Here is a 16,470-nt window from a genome sequence, read left to right on the forward strand (position 1 = left end):
GGATTACAGGCGTTAGCCACCGTGCCCGCCCCATAGTAGGTATTTAGTAAGCATTTGCTGAGTAAGCAAAGATTACTCACTTCCAAAGACTTCGTCCTCTTTATAAAGGTGGTGGTGGTAGCATTATCTTCCTCTCTTCTTCAGGTACATTACCTGTGCTGAATACACTCACTTTTATGGTGGCAAGAAGCCAGGTAAGGCATGCAGTCTTTCTGTTCCCCGTTGGGGGAGTGGTATTAAGGAACTGTGTCTTCAGGATACAGTGAGCTGTAAAAATAGACAACAAGAACACGGAAACTATGGTAGACGAATGGGCTGAGGACACAGTTCATGAAAGAGAAATATACTCAAGATAGAAGAACCTGCTTCATCTTAGTGGTGATTTTTGTAAAATGTAATTTAAAATATTCCCCGATGCTGGGAGCTAAGTAAAAAATAAATAAGTAAATGAAATACAAAATTACATGTACATTTAAATGTTTTTTCTCTATCAAGTTTATAAGGAATAAAAAGAATGATAATATTTTCAGCTGTCAAAACTATCAAGACTACAATAACAAGAGCACTGTCATAATTTTAATGGAAGTAAAAAGTATGCACTTTTCCCAGTAAGTTCTTTTTTGATGTACCCCAAGTGTTTTGGTTTATCTGTTAAAAGGTTTTTAATCCACAGCAATTGCTGTACTTAAAAATTTGCATGAACTTTTTCATAAGCTGTAACTGAATTGCTAGCAGGTGCACATAGATGAAATACTTTACAGAGTAAGATTTCTGTTTTTTATTTCATTTTTAAACAGATCTCCCACAAACAAATTTTCGTCGTTTACCTTTTGACCACTGCAGGTAAGAGTTTTGCGAGTTTACCTTTCCCTTGTAATTGTTCTCTGATCCTGTCTGATAGTGAATCTGCCCCTTGTGGATGTGGGGTTATGCGTAAAAGTGTGCCTTGAAGATGTGGCCCTTCAGTTCATGTTGGGAGAAGATGCAGAGTCCTCGTCATGATGTTAGGAGCTTGCCTTGGTGTTGGATCCTGCTCTAGACCTTCACCAGGGGTGGCACAAACACTATTGTAGTTGGAGGAGAAGGTTGGTGAGAGAGGGAGGTGGCCAGGCTGCCCAGAGAGGGCTCCCTGGGACAGCATTTCAGGAGGTCACCATGCCAGTCTCAGCCAGCCCACATCCTGACCAGGGTGCGTGGCAACTCACCAGGAATGACTGTCCTTTTTCAGTCTCTCTCTGCAGCCCTTTGTCTACCCAGTCTGCACTCCCGATGGCATCGTCTTTGACTTACTGTGAGTTTTTCCTTGAATTTTGATCTAACAAATGTGAGATTCTCAACACCCATTAAGGAAGGGGACCCTTGGTACCCTTGGGTAGGGCTCTTGGGCACACAGAAGTAACAGCTAGGGCCTTGGGGACATGGCAGCAATGCTGCTGTGACCCTTGGGCAGGCAGCTCTAGTTGTCAGGTACTGCTGTCACTGCCTGGAATGGGGTAGACCACCCCCTACCCCTCCAAGTGCAGGCATGAGCCACTGCACCTGGCCTGAAAATGAATTTTTAGGAAATTTCAGCCTTATTTTAGAAAAAGAAAATTTTACCACAGTCCCACTATCCAAGATAACCACTGTAAATATGCTAATTTTTTGTGAACTTATTTGTAGTAACATGATTGAGATAACACTGTGAACACTGTGAAGTGTTGACAGGTAACACTCTGTGGATCTATTTATTCACTTGGTTGTGATGAGAGCTTTTTTCCCCGTGTGATTCAGAATTCTCTGAAAGTATAGTTTTTCTTTGTTCTTTTCTTTTTTTTTTATTTGAGACAGGGTCTCACTATGTTGCCCAGGCTGGTCTTGAACTCCTGCGCTGAAGCAGTCCTTCCACCTCAGCCTCCTGAGTAGCTGAGATTTCAGGCACACACCATCACCATGCCTGGCTTGAAAGTATAGTTTTTGATGCTAGCTTAGTATTTAATTATACAGATGTATCAACATTTATGACGGAGTGGTGGCTTATGTCTGTAGTCCCAGCACTTTGGGAGGCTGAGGCAGGAGGATCTCTTGAACCCAGGAGTTTGAGACCAGCCTGGGCAACATGGTGAGAACCTGTGTCTACAAAAAAGTGCAAAAATTAGCCAGCCATGGTGGTGTGCACCTGTAGTCCCAGCTACTTGGAAGCTGAGGTGGGAGGATCGCTTGAGCCCAGGGGTTGGAGGCTGCAGTGAGCCATGACTGAAACACTGCACTCCAGCCTGAGTGACAAGGCGAAACCTTGTCTCAAAGAAAAAAAACCCAAACCATTTACTTACTCATTTTCACCTGTAGTTTTTGTTGTTTATACATAACTACAGTAATAACTCTGAACATATTTTGAAACCTATGTATCCACAAATATCCCCCAACTTCCTGAGACAAGATGAGGAGCTCTTCCTCTCCTAAAGTGAAGCAAGACCCCTTCACAGGCCTCTAACCTGGAAGCAGCCCTGCAAGACCACAGTGTTGTTACCAGGTGGCGCCTAAGCACCCTGGTGATGCTTTCTGTTCTGTCTTCCCTTCAGGAACATTGTTCCATGGCTTAAGAAGTACGGGACCAACCCCAGCAATGGAGAGGTAGGTGGCTGTGCAGGAGTTTCAGTGATGCTAGTGAATGCTATCCTCTCACTTCTCCTTTTGTTCTGGTGGTTTTCATGAACACAGGAACATGGGAGAGAACCGTTCATGGGGCCCAGTGAGGAGGGACAGTCTTCCCCTCCTCTCCCCACACCCATTCTTTTCCAGAAATGCTTCCGGCCTGTGCACGTGTATATATGTGCATGTCTTTTCTTGGGCCATAGCTGTGACCTCGTCTTAACTTGATTCTATCTGCAAAGACCCTATATAAACCTTTGATTATATCCAAGTCAGGCCACATTCACAGGTTCCCAGTGAGCATCAGTTTTGTGGGGACATTATGCAGCCTGGTTCCGAGGGAGATCTAGTGTATTTTACCAGTGACCTTGCCCTTCCTGTTGGAATTACTTGCATGTATTCCTCCACCTCTTTCCTATGGCCTGGGGCAAGAGCTCAAACTGTGCGAGACGGAGGGTCGGGACTCCGGTGGGCTCCCTGTGCTGGAGCCGCTGGGAGGGAGCTCCCTGGACAATATGACCCTCCCTACCGGGCCAGCAGGAGAAGCTGGCAGCCCATCTGTCTCAGCTCTTCTGGCCCTTGTGGTGTTCTGGGGGCTGCAGGGTTCTGGGGACTCTTTGTAGATGGAGTTGGTGCTCCTCCAAGGCTTCCCTGCTCTCCAGTACAAGGGGAACTTGGCCAGGGGGCTGGTTTTTGAGTGTTCTTGGACCAGCGACTAAAGCCCGTGGCTTTTCTCTTTCAAATGCTTGGGTAGGGGGCTTGTGGCCTCACCTCCTTAGGGAGGGCACTCTTCTTCCTTGGTCTTTGTCACTTGAAGACTGTTTCTGTGATGTCTGCTGCTGGGAGCCACATTGGATCCCAGGGGCTTCCCCCAAGGTCCGTGCCCCAGTCTGGGAAGTCATTCTCTGTTGCTCTTCTCAGCAGAGGTCCCTGCTGCCTGCCTGTGCCCTGTGTGGCTGGGTGTCGGCCTCAGGGAGCAGCCTGGTGGCAAGGTGGGGGTAGGTGGGGTTTTCCTGTCCACAGCTGCCCTCATGGCCCCTGCTGTCCCAGTGGATTCTGTCATTTGGTTGCAGCTGGGATGCATTTTGCTACTTTGGGTGTTTTGCTTCACAGGTACTCTTTGGGGTTCCCAAACTTGTCGATTGTGCTGGCCCCCACACCCACAAAGTCTGATCTGGCAGTTAGCCACGCTGTTAGGGCTTACATCAGGGAGGTGTGGCCATTTCTTTGTTCCAGGCATCATGTTGGGGTGAGTCTGCAGGAGCGCCCTACACGTCTTTATCCTGTGCCTGCGCCTCTCCCTTGGCCTGCTCTGGAAGGGACCTTGCTGTGTGCTTGCTTGGCCAGACCTATGGGTGTCAGCAGAGCCTTGCTAGCCAAACCTCTGAGGAGAGTTCCTGGGCCAAGGGCTGGCTGGCCCATGTGACTTTTGGGGGCTCAGGAGGAGCCTGTTGTGTTGGGGAGTCTCTCTGCTCAGGTCCTGTGTCTGAATAGGGACCCTGCTGGCCCTCTGGTGGTCTCCTCCACACCTGTAGTGATGTAGGGAGGTGGGGGTAGTTGAATGACAAAGGAAGGAACGAAGGTGGTTAGAGGAGCAGATGCGGTCAGTTGGGTTGGCCAGCAGCAGGCAGGGCCCACGGAGGGCGGGGAGGGCAGCTTAAGGACCTGCTGCCAGCTTAGGGCCCAGCCCCAGGAGGCTCCCGCTGTGTCTCCCCTGGGCCTGGGTAGGCATAGCTGGGCCCAGCCCACACCAGGTGGCAGCAGCTGCTGGATTGTGGCCCTGAGTGAGGTGCTCCCCAGCAGCACATAGCTCTGCCTCCCTTCCAGGGTCTCCCCACAGCCCCGCCCCCAGCAGTTCCCACCTCCGGTTGTCCAGACTTTGTTTTATGGGAAAGTTTGCTGTGGAAGAGCTGTACTGCAGACACACCACAGAAACTGAAAACATTACCTGCCACCTGGGGTAGGGGAAATAAGAAAAAAGAAAAAACATCCAGAAACAGAAAAATAGAGTCCCATCTTCCCAACACAACCATTCTTAGCATTGGAGTGTATTTCTTACTTTCTCCCCACTTTTAATGTTTTGTTTTTCTTAAATATTCATATGACAGAGCACTTTGGGAGGCTCAGGTGGGCAGATCATGAGGTCAGGAGATTAGCCTGGTGTGGTGGCGTGTGTCTGTAGTCCTAGCTACTCGGGAGGCTGAGGCAGGAGAATCACTTGAACTAGGGAGTGGGAGGTTGCAGTGAGCTGAGATGTTGCCGCTGTACTCCAGCCTGGTGACAGAGAGGGACTCTGTGTGTCCCACCACTCTAGCTGAAGAAATATGTTCACTTTTTAATTTTAGAAGTAATCTGTGCTCACCATAAAGACGTCCAAACCCTGCAGAAGTATAACACACACCACCCTGTGGCCTGGTCCTCCTGCTCGGGGTCACCCGTGACGGCTCTTCTCAGAGCGTGGTGGGGGTGCCACATAAACACAACTGCCCGACGCCATCCTGCAGCCCCCGTGAGGTCCTTGCAGGGTCTTGGGGCCTTCCCTTTTGTCCAGAGCTGCACAGGGTTGGCCTAGTCAGAGACTTTTCCTGCCTGTCTCTGACCCTAGCATCTCTGTGCATCAGTTACTTATTCATTATCATTAATTATTAACTGTGCTTCTTCCAGAAGCTGGACGGGAGGTCCCTGATCAAGCTGAACTTTTCCAAGAACAGTGAGGGTGAGTGGAACTATCACAGCCAATTCTGGGCTTGACCTGCAGACCCAAGGGCCCAGCTCTCACCAGTTTTCATACGGAATCAGTCATTGCTTTCTGACCAAGCTAGACACCTGCTTTTAATTCCGCAAAAAGTGTCACAGGGCTGGGCACGGTGGCTCACACCTGTAAACCCAGCAGTTTGGGAGGCCGAGGCGGATGGTTCACGAGGTCAAGAGATTGAGACCATCCTGGCCAACATGGTAAAACCCCGTTTCTACTAAAAATACAAAAATTAGCCGGGCATGGTGGCGGGCGCCTGTAGTCCCAGCTACTCGGGAGGCTGAGGCAGGAGAATCACTTGAACCCAGGAGGCAGAGGTTGCAGTGAGCCAAGATGGTGCCACTGCACTCCAGCCTGGCAACAGAGCGAGACTCTGTCTCAAAAAAAAAAGGTGTCACAAGATTTCTTCTCAAAGGTCTGGGTAGTTTTAAGGTGGGGGAGGTTGGGGGCAGAACCTGTGGTGTTGGGAACTTCCCACAAAGGCGATCAGGCCATTGTAAGCTGCTAGTGGCCTTTGTGGGCACAGTTGGATCTGCAGGGCATGGGCCCCCTCTGGCTGAGGCTGTGGTCTGTTTGTTGTTGGAGGCAGAAGTTGCTCATGCTGGGAACCAAGGCGGCAGCTGAGTAGGGGATGTGGGTGGTCTGGAGGGATTTGTCCAGTAGCTCTTGGGCTAGGCTTTTCTTTGCCACAGCTCATAGAGCCCAGCCCAGTGCTGCGGCTCCTGCTTCATGCCCATTACACACCTTCCGCTGTTCTTGTGGCCAGAGGCCCGGATGAGTTGTGCAGCCCACCCCTGCCCAGGTGGTGATCTTGTGCTAGGTTCTAGTCCAGGTCTTTTGCCTGTGGAGATGCTATGGCTTAGGGGTTGTCCTTGCTTACTGGGTGCATGCATTCCAGGGAGATGCTGTAGCACCTGAGGCCAAGGCCCTTTTGCCCCGCTTGTCTGAGCCCAGAGCCCGGTCCCCAGTCGGTGCAGCATTCGCAGGTGAATGAATGGGTGAACCTCAGCACGTCATTGACGTCGGTGGAGGACACGGCGCTCCACCCTGGTGGCCGAGGGTGGGCTGCCTCCCCTCCTGTGATCAGCAGTGTGTGTGTGTGTGTGTGTGTGTGTGTGTGTGTGTCTCATTCAGCAAATATTTATTTATTTATTTTGTGTGTGTGTGTGTGTGTGTGTGTGTGTGTTATTGTTTATTTTTTATTTCTCCAAACCTCTTTTTTTTTTTATTGATCATTCTTGGGTGTTTCTCACAGAGGGGGATTTGGCAGGGTCATAGGACAATAGTGGAGGGAAGATCAGCAGATAAACAAGTGAACAGAGGTCTCTGGTTTTCCTAGGCAGAGGACCCTGCGGCCTTCTGCAGTGTTTGTGTCCCTGGGTACTTGAGATTAGGGAGTGGTGATGACTCTTAACTAGCATGCTGCCTTCAAGCATCTGTTTAACAAAGCACATCTTGCACCGCCCTTAATCCATTTAACCCTGAGTGAACACCGCACATGTTTCAGAGAGCACAGGGTTGGGGGTAAGGTCATAGATCAACAGCATCCCAAGGCAGAATTTTTCTTAGTACAGAACAAAATGGAGTCTCCTATGTCTACTTGTTTCTACACAGACACAGCAACAATCTGATTTCTGTATCTTTTCCCCACATTTCCCCCTTTTCTATTCGACAAAACCACCATCGTCATCATGGCCTGTTCTCAATGAGCTGTTGGGTACACCTCCCAGATGGGGTGGCAGCCGGGCAGAGGGGCTCCTCACTTCCCAGAAGGGGCGGCCGGGCAGAGGCGCCCCTACCTCCCGGACGGGGCGGCGGCCAGGCGGGGGCTGCCCCCCACCTCCCTCTTGGACGGGGCGGCTGGCCGGGCGGGGGCTGCCCCCCACCTCCCTCCCGGACGGGGCGGCTGCCGGGCGGAGACGCTCCTCACTTCCTAGACAGGGCGGCTGCCGGGCAGAGGGGCTCCTCGCTTCTCAGACGGGGCGGCTGCCGGGCGGAGGGGCTCCTCACTTCTCAGACGGGGCGGCCAGGCAGAGACACTCCTCACCTCCCAGATGGGGTTGCAGCCAGGCAGAGGCGCTCCTCACATCCCAGACGATGGGTGGCTGGGCAGAGACGCTCCTCACATCCCAGACAGGGTGGCGGCCGGGCAGAGGCTGCAATCTCGGCACTTTGGGAGGCCAAGGCAGGCGGCTGGGAGGTGGAGGTTGTAGCTAGCCGAGATCACGCCACTGCACTCCAGCCTGGGCAACATTGAGCACTGAGTGAACGAGACTCCGTCTGCAATCCCGGCACCTCGGGAGGCCGAGGCTGGCAGGTCACTCGCGGTTAGGAGCTGGAGACCAGCCTGGCCAACACAGCGAAACCCCGTCTCCACCCAAAAAATACGAAAACCAGTCAGGCGTGGCGGCGCGCGCCTGCAATCCCAGGCACTCGGCAGGCTGAGGCAGGAGAATCACGCAGGGAGGTTGCAGTGAGCCGAGATGGCAGCAGTACAGTCCAGCTTTGGCTCGGCATCAGAGGGAGACCCTGGGGAGCGGGAGCGGGAGAGGGAGAGGGAGGGACAGCAAATATTTATTGAGTGCCTGCCATGTGCAGAGAGCACAACAGGCTGTGTCTCTCCTGAATGAGAGGAGCATGCATTCTGGTGGGGGAGAACACCAGAGAGCAGCTCAGCAGGGTGTGCCAGAGGCTGCTTGTGTGTGTAGAGCACAGCAGGGGGAGGGGAGAGGGCCGCCCTGACCCGCTGCAGGGAGGGAGAGCCGTGTGGGCATCGGGGGAGTGCAGGGCCAGGCTGATGGCACAGCCAGTGCAAAGACCCTGAGGTGGGCGCACGCTCAAGGGTGTCTGTGCCCAGCTGGGAGTCCAATGTGGCTGGAACAGCGTGTGCTAGCGGTGGAAGCAGGGGATGTGGTGACAGAGGTCAGGGGTGGGGATGGTGTGCAGAGCAGTCCTGTGGGGCCTGGGAGCCACAGGAGGACTTGGGCTTCCGCTCCAAGATGAGAGCCACTGAGGGAGGAATGAGGTCCAGCCTTTTTTTTTCTTTTAAAACTTTGACCTGGCAGTCAGCTTCTTTTGTTGTGTTTCCTTTTTTCTTTTGAAATGAGGTCTCTGTCACCCAGGCTGGAATGCAGTGGCACAGTCTCAGCTCACTGCAACCTCTGCCTCCTGGGCTCAAGAGATCCTCCCACCTCAGCCTCCCAAGTAGCTGGGACTACAGGCACCACCACTGCACCCAGCTAGTTTTTGTGTTTTTTGTAGAGACGGGGTTTCACCATGTTGGCCAGGCTGGTCTCGAACTCCTGGGCTCAAGTGATCCACCTGCCTCAGCCTCCCAAAGTGCTGGGATTACAGGCGTGAGCCACTGCGCCCCACCTGTTTCTTTGTTAATTGGAATTCCCCGTGCGTGAAAGTGGAGTGAGGAGGTGTGATACGCCTCCCCTGTGCCCATCATCAACTCCAGCCCCTGCTGTCTCCCATCTGTGCAGTTCTGTCTTTGCTCCCACCAGTACCCCCTTGCATGATGCTGAAGCCCCAATTTAAAAAACAGTTTTCACATCAGAAGGATTTTTGTTTGTTTGTTTGTTTTTGAGACATGGTCTTGCCCTGTTGCCCAGGCTGGAGTGTAGTGGCATGATCAGAGCGCACTGTTGCTTCGACCTTCCAGGACCAAGTGCTCCTTCCACCTCAGTCTCCCAAGTAGATGGGACCACAGGCATGTACTACCATGCCCAGCCAATTTTTTTTTTTTTTTTTTTTGAGATGGAGTTTCGCTCTTGTTCCCCAGGCTGGAGTGCAATGGCGTGATCTCGGCTCACTGCAACCTCCGCCTCTTGGGTTCAAGCGATTCTCCTGGCTCAGCCTCCCGAGTGGCTGGGATTACAGGCATGTGCCACCACACCTGGCTAATTTTGTATTTTTAGTAGAGACGGGGTTTCTCCATGTTGGTCAGGCTGGTCTCAAACTCCCGACCTCAGGTGATCCTCCCGCCTCTGCCTCCGAAAGTGCTGGGATTACAGGTGTGAGCCACCGCGCCCAGCCCCAGCTACTTTTTTAATTTTTATTTTTGTAGAGATGAGGTTTCCCTATGTCACCCAGGCTGGTCTTGAAGTCCTGGGCTCAAGTGATCCTCCCGCGTCAGCATCCCCCCACCAAAAAAAAACAGCTGGGCACCATGGTTTACGCCTGCAATCTCAGCACTTTGGGAGGCCAAGGTGGGAGGATTGCTTGAGCCCAGGAGTTCAAGACCAGCCTGGGCAACATAATGAAACCTTGTCTCTACAAAATGAAACCTAAAAATTAGCCAGTGTGGTTGAGCACACCTGTAGTCCCAGCTACTTGGGAGGCTGAGGTGGGAGGATTATTGGAGCTTGGGAAGTTGAGACTGCGTGAGCTGTGATTGCGCCACTGCATTCCAGCCTGGGTGATAGAGCTAGACCCTGTCTCAAAAAACAAAACAAAACAAAAAAACGGGGTCTCAGCCTATCGCCTAGGCTGGTCTCAAACTCCTGACCTCAAGCAATCCTCCCACCTTGGCCTCCCAAAGCACTGGGACTAGAGGTGTGAGCCACCTCTAACTTGAGGCTCTAACTAATTTGAGGCTCTAACTTGGCCTCAAATCAGGATTTTTTTTAAGAAAAAGTCCCCACAAGGCCAGGTGCGGTGGCTCACGCCTGTAATCCCAGCACTTTGGGAGGCCAAGGTGGGCAGATCACGAGATCAGGAGATCGAGACCATCCTGGCTAACACGGTGAAACCCCGTCTCTACTAAAAAAATACAAAAAATTAGCCGGGCATGGTGGCGGGCGCCTGTAGGTCCCAGCTACTCAGGAGGCTGAGGCAGGAGAATGGCGTGAACCCGGGAGGCGGAGCTTGCAGTGAGCCGAGGAGATCATGCCACTGCACTGCAGCCTGGGCAACGGCAAGACTCTGTCTCAAAAAAAAAAAAAAAGAAAAAGTCCCCACAAATACATGTGGTTGATGTTTCTGAGTCCCCCTACTGCACTTACTTTTTTATCCCCAGAAGTGGGCACTTTGACAGGGCCCCTGGCCACTGGGTGGGGACTTACAGGCAGAGAGACAGTAACCAAGGCCAGGTGCAGTGGCTCATGCCTGTAATGCCAGCACTTTGAGAGGCTGAGGCAGGCAGATGACTTGAGGTCAGGAGTTCGGGACCAGTCTGGCCAAGGTGGTGAAACACTGTCTCTACTAAAAATACAAAAATTAGTCGTACATGGTGACGCATGCATGCCTGTAGTCTCAGCTACTCCGGAGGCGGAGGCAGCAGAATCGCTGGAACCCAGGAGATGGAGGTTGCAGTGAGCCGAGATCACGCTACTGCACCTCAGCCTGGGTGACAGAGCAAGACTCCATCTCAAAACAGAGTAAAACAAGGCCGGGTGCAGTGGCTCACACCTGTAATCCCAGCACTTTGGGAGGCCGAGGTGGGCAGATCATTAGGTCAGGAGATCGAGACCATCCTGGCTAACATGGTGAAACCCCATCTCTACTAAAAATACAGAAAAATTAGCCGGGCATGATGGCAGGCACCTGTAGTCCCAGCTACTCGGGAGGCTGAGGCAGGAGAATGGCGTGAACCTGGGAGGCGGAGCTTGCAGTGAGCCGAGATTGTGCCACTGCACTCCAGCCTGGGTGACAGAGCGAGACTCCATCTCAAAAAAAAAAAAAAAAAAAAAAAACAGAGCAAAACAAAAAAAAGACAGTAGGCAGGCAAGGGGATGGGCGGTTCTGAAGGAAGAGCTGACCAGGGGGCTGGCGGAGGATGTGGGTGAGAGGAGGTAGAGCTGTCAGGGCTGGAACATGGGTTGTTTCCTGCCGAGGGCCAACTTCAGTAGGAGGAGGAGGCTAGCATGGTGATCACCCAGGGGTGGGCTGGAGGATCTGAGGAAGACGATGCCGGGATTGGGTCTTGCAGGATGAATAGGAGTTTCCTAACGGTGTGGAAGGGCTTGAGGGGGTGAGCAGCTGTCCCCATGGTTCCCTGCTCTGGCAGCTGACATGGGGTTCCACCTCCTCCCATCGCTGACTTTGGAGTTCTGTCCTGCCCTGGCCCTCTGCGGTCCTCACTGGGATGTTCACAGCCCACAGAGGTGACTGGCCTCCCTGTGTGTGCCTTCTCTCTAGGGAAGTACCACTGCCCAGTGCTGTTTACCGTGTTCACCAACAACACCCACATCGTGGCTGTGAGGACGACCGGCAACGTCTACGCCTATGAGGTGTGTCCTCGCTCCGGGGCGTGGAGACAGCGGTGGGGAGATCTCTGCTGTGTGTTCCTAGTATACACTGGCTGGGCTGTGTGCTACGTGTACGGCCTGTCCTCGTGGGGTTTACAGTCACAGCCACAGGCATGGTCATCTAGCAAAGCTCTGGCAGTGCAGCCTCCCCATTTTCAGGCAGGTCAAAAAAAGGGTTGGGGGAGGTGCATCCTTCGGAATCCAGGCAGTCCTGGCTGCCCAGCAGGGACCCTTAAACCCCAAGAGGTCCTTCCGCGTCTTCAGCAAAGCCCAGGTGCTGGGAAGGCACCCATGTTTTGAGGACAGGCCTCTAGGGCTGTGAGGGGAGTGCTCGCCCCGGATCTGGATGGAGTCACTTGCCCCCAGGAGGGAGCTGTCCCCTGGAGGAGTTCTGGCAGGGAGTGGGTGTAGGGAGAGGGGAGACAGCCGTGTTCACACATGGGTCCTCCTCTTGGGTGAGGCGGGGCAGGCCCCACATGGCGGGAAAGCCGACCTTTGCGCCGTTGTCAATCCTGCACCTGGACGTTTGTGGGGTGTAGGTGGCCAGCGCTGCTCCAGGGGCCTTGGGAGCCACTTCTTGCCAGAAGCCTGCACAAACTGGCATGGTCAGTCCTCGTTAGTGGAGTGAGGGCTCTGCTAGACCGCACCGCAGGAGTGCAGGCATCTTGTGTGCACAGCCCCTGCCCACGGGGGCCTGGCACCATACCTGTGCATGGGAGGAGCTTGGCAAAGCCTGCAGCGAGTGGGTGGGTGACTCGCTGAGTCTTTTTGCTGATCAATGTGCAGACAAGAGCTTCCTGCAGGAAGGTTGCTGCGAGGGTGAACTGGCTCATCGTCTGAGGCCCAGCCAGCTCCGCCTCTGTGGGAGCCACTGCTTTCAGCCAGTGGGGTGTACACTGCTGTCTCTCTCATTCCTCATGCCTCTCAAATCGTGCCATGGTCGGGGCCAGCTCCAGGCCTCCCTGCTTGCAGTCCCCTGTGCCAAGGCTTGGGGCAGGCATCGTAAAACCACTTCCTCCTGGCTATAGGCAGTGGAACAGCTAAATATCAAGGCCAAGAACTTCCGGGACCTGCTGACCGACGAGCCCTTCTCCCGGCAGGACATCATCACCCTCCAGGTGAGTGTCCCCTGCCTGCCTGCCCCAGCTGCCTTCAGCACCTGCAGCCAGCCCAGGCCTCTACAGGGCCCTACCCCCACGTCAGGGCCCCTCATATCTGTCCTCAAAGCCACCTGAGGCATCTGAATAGCCACTCTGCAGGCCTGGCTCTGCTTCAGCGCCTCGAGGGCAGGAGCTGGCATGAGCTCTGCAAAGACCCTGTATCTGGCACAGGGTCCCTGCAGGTGTCAGAGAACCCCAAGTGAATTAATGAAAAACACTGACTTAGAAAAGCAGGTGCTGGCTGGAGCGTGGCCTGCTGAGTCAATCACCTCTGTGGCTTGTCCCATTCTAACCAGAGGTCGGCCCACGGCTGCCCACGTTCCGGTCCGATAGCTCCCTAACAGCAATGAATGCTCGTTAGCCATGTGCCTGGAGGAAGGTCACAGCTCAGCCAGCAGCTAGCGAGGCTGCGTCCCCGTCCCTGCCCCTGCCCCTGTTTGCTGCCCTGCCTGGGGCAGACCACCTCCTCCCTCATGCCCTGCTTGACTCCCCCAACCTCAGTGTAGCCCTGGCCTCTTCCACACCTCTGACAGCTGGCCGTCCTTTGCTGCATGTGGCTGCCATTTGGCCGTAGGCTGGGTTCACTCTGCTGGGCATTCTCTTTTTGCCACAGGACCCCACCAATTTGGACAAGTTCAATGTCTCTAACTTCTATCATGTGAAGAATAACATGAAAATAATAGACCCAGGTATGTACACCTAGGGGCTGGGCTAGGCGAGGGGGCTTTTGGATGAAATTGGGACAGTGCTCCCTGGGTAAAGCCCCCGCTTTCCTGGAGGTCAGGGGGTCCCAGCCCAGACAGGCCCTGCATTTTCTGAACTAGTGTTCAGAGAATCTGAGCCAACTGCAGCCTCAGAAACAATGGGCGGGATAGACTTGCTGCCCTGCCAGCACACCTGCTCAGGTTCCCCTGCTCCCTGCAGACTGGCCGGTGCTGTCAGTGGGCAGGTGGTGGGGTGATGGGGTCCTCCTGTTTCCCTGGCCTCTGGTGGCTGTCCTGCAGCCTTGGAGGAGCCAGCAGGACTCATGTTCAGAGGTCACTCGGCCTTGTGCTGCAGAGCAGTGGCCTGGGCACTTTGTGAGCATTGTTTGAACGGGTTTTAGGTAGGCTGAGCACGTGAACTGGGGAAGATTTGAGTCAGGAGAGCCTGAGGTCAGGGTTGGGGCTGGGCCGTGTCTGTGCTCTCTGCACAGGGATGCCGGCCCCTCTCCACAGGGTGGGCTGCTGTCCAAGGCCCAGTAGGCAGCAGGCACCCTCCTGAGTCGGCAAGAATGGGTGATTTCACATCTGGAAAGACCCCCAAACACTTCTATTATTTTAAATAAAAATAACCTTTAAAATTACAGAAGCAAAGCAACTGGGTGTGGTGGCTTATGCCTGTAACCCCAGCACTTTGGGAGGCCAAGGCAGGCGGATTGCTTGAGCTCAAGAGTTCGAGACCAGCCTGGGCAACATGGGGACACCCTGTCTCTACAAAAAATAGAAAAATTAGCTGGGTGTAGTTGGTGCGCCTGTAGCCCCAGCTACTTGGGGGGCTGAGGCAGGAGAATCGATTGAGCCCAGGAGGTGGAGGCTACAGTGAGCTGAGATCTTGCAACCGCTTTCTAGCTGGGGCGACAGAGCTAGACCCTGTCTCAAAAGGCTGGGCGCGGTGGGTCACGCCTGTAATCCCAGCACTTTGGGAGGCTGAGGCAGGCGGATCACGAGGTTACAAGATTGTAACACAAAAAAATTAGCCGGGCGTGGTGGCGGGCGCCTGTAGTCCCAGCTACTCAGGAGGCTGAGGCAGGAGAATGGCGTGAACCTGGGAGGCAGAACTTGCAGTGAGCCGAGATTGCACCACTGCACTCCAGCCTGGACGATAGAGCGAGACTCCATCTCCACAAAAAAAAAAAAAAAAAAAAAGAAAAAAAAAGCAAAGCGTATACTCTAAAAAGATTAGAATATACAGATAAATATAAAATATACAAATCAACCTGAAGTCCATCCTGAGACCCTTGTGAACTGCCTGGGGAGACCTTCAGGCCTGTAGCGGGGCACTGTGGCATTCTGTGGCTGGCAGTGGCACGGTGCCTGCGCCATGGCTGGACGGCCCTGGGCTATTCTAGATCTGTGTCCCCAGCACGTGTGTGGGGAGGCTACTGGGGGCTCGGCGGCTCAGGGCCATGCTACTGTTTTGTAGATGAAGAGAAGGCCAAACAGGACCCGTCTTATTATCTGAAAAATACAAATGCCGAGACCCGAGAGACCCTGCAGGAGCTCTACAAGGAGTTCAAAGGGGACGAGATTCTGGCAGCCACCATGAAGGCCCCGGAGAAGAAGAAAGTGGACAAGCTGAACGCTGTGAGTGGCGGAGGGCACTCGGCCAAGCCCAAGCCCCGTCTTCCTGCCCATCTCATGGCCTCTTGGAGTGGTCCTGGGAAAGGGGCTCATGGGGGCCTGGGATACACGGCAGGGAGGCAGCCAGGATCCCCCAGAGCTGTGGTGCCCCTGATGGCTCTGAGTGCACAGCCCTGGGGCTGCCCTGAGGCAGATAGAATCTGAGAAGGCAGAAGGGGAGGGGCTGATGTCCACACTGGTCGTTGAAGAACCAAGGGGTGTGTGGGGGCATGTAGGGGAGATCCCTGCCACAGAAGGTCTGCCTTGTGCTGTGGTCCCAGCCTGAGCTCAGTAGCCAGGGCAGGCACGTTGAGCGGGCACATGTGGTTCTGTGGTGGCTGGGAGGGCAGGGCCCGATGTGCACTGGGGCCCAAAGCCATGCCAGGGAGAGTTGGGGCGTTTCATGGTCTGCTGCGGTGCTGACGTGGATGGCATGCCTGGGACTGCACGGTGCCACCTGTCTGGGGCTGTCGTGTTTGCTTCTTCCTCCTGTCAGGCAGAGCATGGGGATCTGGAGCTAGGGGGAGGGCAGAGACATGGGCAGGTAGCTCTGAAGTTCTCCTTCTTAAAGAATTATTCAAATTCTGGAAAATTTGAAAAAGAAAGCTTGTTGTCCAGTGTGTCACTCCGTCTAACACACTGCCCTTAGCACTTTGATATATTACTTTTTTTTTTCTTTTGGAAACAGGATCTTGCTATGTTGTCTAAGCTGGTCTTGAATTCCTGGCTTCAAGTGAGAGCCTCCTGCCTTGGCCTCCGAAAGTGCTGGAATTACAGGTGTGAGCCACTGTGCCTGGCTTGTATTTTCTTCTGATGGGAGAAACCCCTTTTTCTTCCTCTATGATAAAAAATAACATTTATTGGGGCTTTTCCCCGACCCCTGATTAAATATGTAATGTGTTTAGTGTAGAAAGTTTGAAACTTTTAAAAAGAAATGAGGCCAGGCGTGGTGGCTCACACCTGTAATCCCAGCATTTTGGGAGGCTGAGGCAGGAGGATTGCTTGAGGCCAGGAGATCAAGACTAGGTTAGACAACATAGTGAGACCTTATCTCTACAAAAAATCAGCCAGGCGTGGTGGCATGCGCCTGTCGTCCCAGCTACTCAGGAGGCTGAGGTCGGAGGGTCACTTGAGCCCAGGAGTTGGAGGCTGCAGTGCACCAGGATCACACACCACTGCACTCCAGCCTGGGTACAGAGCAAGACCTTGTCTCATAAAAAAATTAAAATAAAAATAAATGAGAAGTCAGCCATACACTCCTAACCCTGAGGTGGCCAGTCCTGTGTGGT

At 53.6% G+C, this 16,470-nt stretch overlaps 1 protein-coding gene across 11 annotated transcripts in view, besides 2 other annotated features; it reads left to right on the forward strand.

Annotated features, from left to right (window-relative positions):
- Positions 1-16,470, forward strand: part of PPIL2 (peptidylprolyl isomerase like 2) — a 34,004-nt gene that overhangs the window by 3,757 nt on the left and 13,777 nt on the right. For 9 of the 11 annotated variants that reach the window (NM_148175.3, NM_014337.4, NM_001317996.2 and 6 more), the window contains exons 2-10: positions 145-194; positions 798-843; positions 1,229-1,291; positions 2,562-2,613; positions 5,296-5,347; positions 11,531-11,622; positions 12,669-12,758; positions 13,414-13,489; positions 14,985-15,145. In NM_148175.3, the coding sequence (NP_680480.1) occupies positions 145-194; positions 798-843; positions 1,229-1,291; positions 2,562-2,613; positions 5,296-5,347; positions 11,531-11,622; positions 12,669-12,758; positions 13,414-13,489; positions 14,985-15,145 (682 nt within the window). Of the gene's footprint in view, positions 1-144; positions 195-530; positions 609-797; positions 844-1,228; positions 1,292-2,561; positions 2,614-5,295; positions 5,348-11,530; positions 11,623-12,668; positions 12,759-13,413; positions 13,490-14,984; positions 15,146-16,470 lie in introns of those variants that run through there. The other 2 variants (XM_011530049.3, XM_047441268.1) reach the window with 2 other exon arrangements.
- Positions 5,233-5,440: a silencer, noted in NCBI's record as "fragment chr22:22029290-22029497 (GRCh37/hg19 assembly coordinates)". NCBI's record gives its function as "represses an EF-1alpha promoter that drives an FKBP-Casp9 reporter gene in an ReSE screen in K562 erythroleukemia cells {active_cell/tissue: K562}" and the evidence as "EXISTENCE:reporter gene assay evidence [ECO:0000049][PMID:32094911]".
- Positions 11,662-12,163: an enhancer, noted in NCBI's record as "H3K4me1 hESC enhancer chr22:22035719-22036220 (GRCh37/hg19 assembly coordinates)". NCBI's record gives its function as "activates a minimal SCP1, AML or CMV promoter by ChIP-STARR-seq in naive H9 embryonic stem cells {active_cell/tissue: H9 hESC(naive)}" and the evidence as "EXISTENCE:reporter gene assay evidence [ECO:0000049][PMID:30033119]".

Source organism: Homo sapiens, chromosome 22 (genome assembly GCF_000001405.40).
Source record: "Homo sapiens chromosome 22, GRCh38.p14 Primary Assembly".
In the NCBI taxonomy this organism is placed as follows: Eukaryota; Metazoa; Chordata; class Mammalia; order Primates; family Hominidae; genus Homo; species Homo sapiens.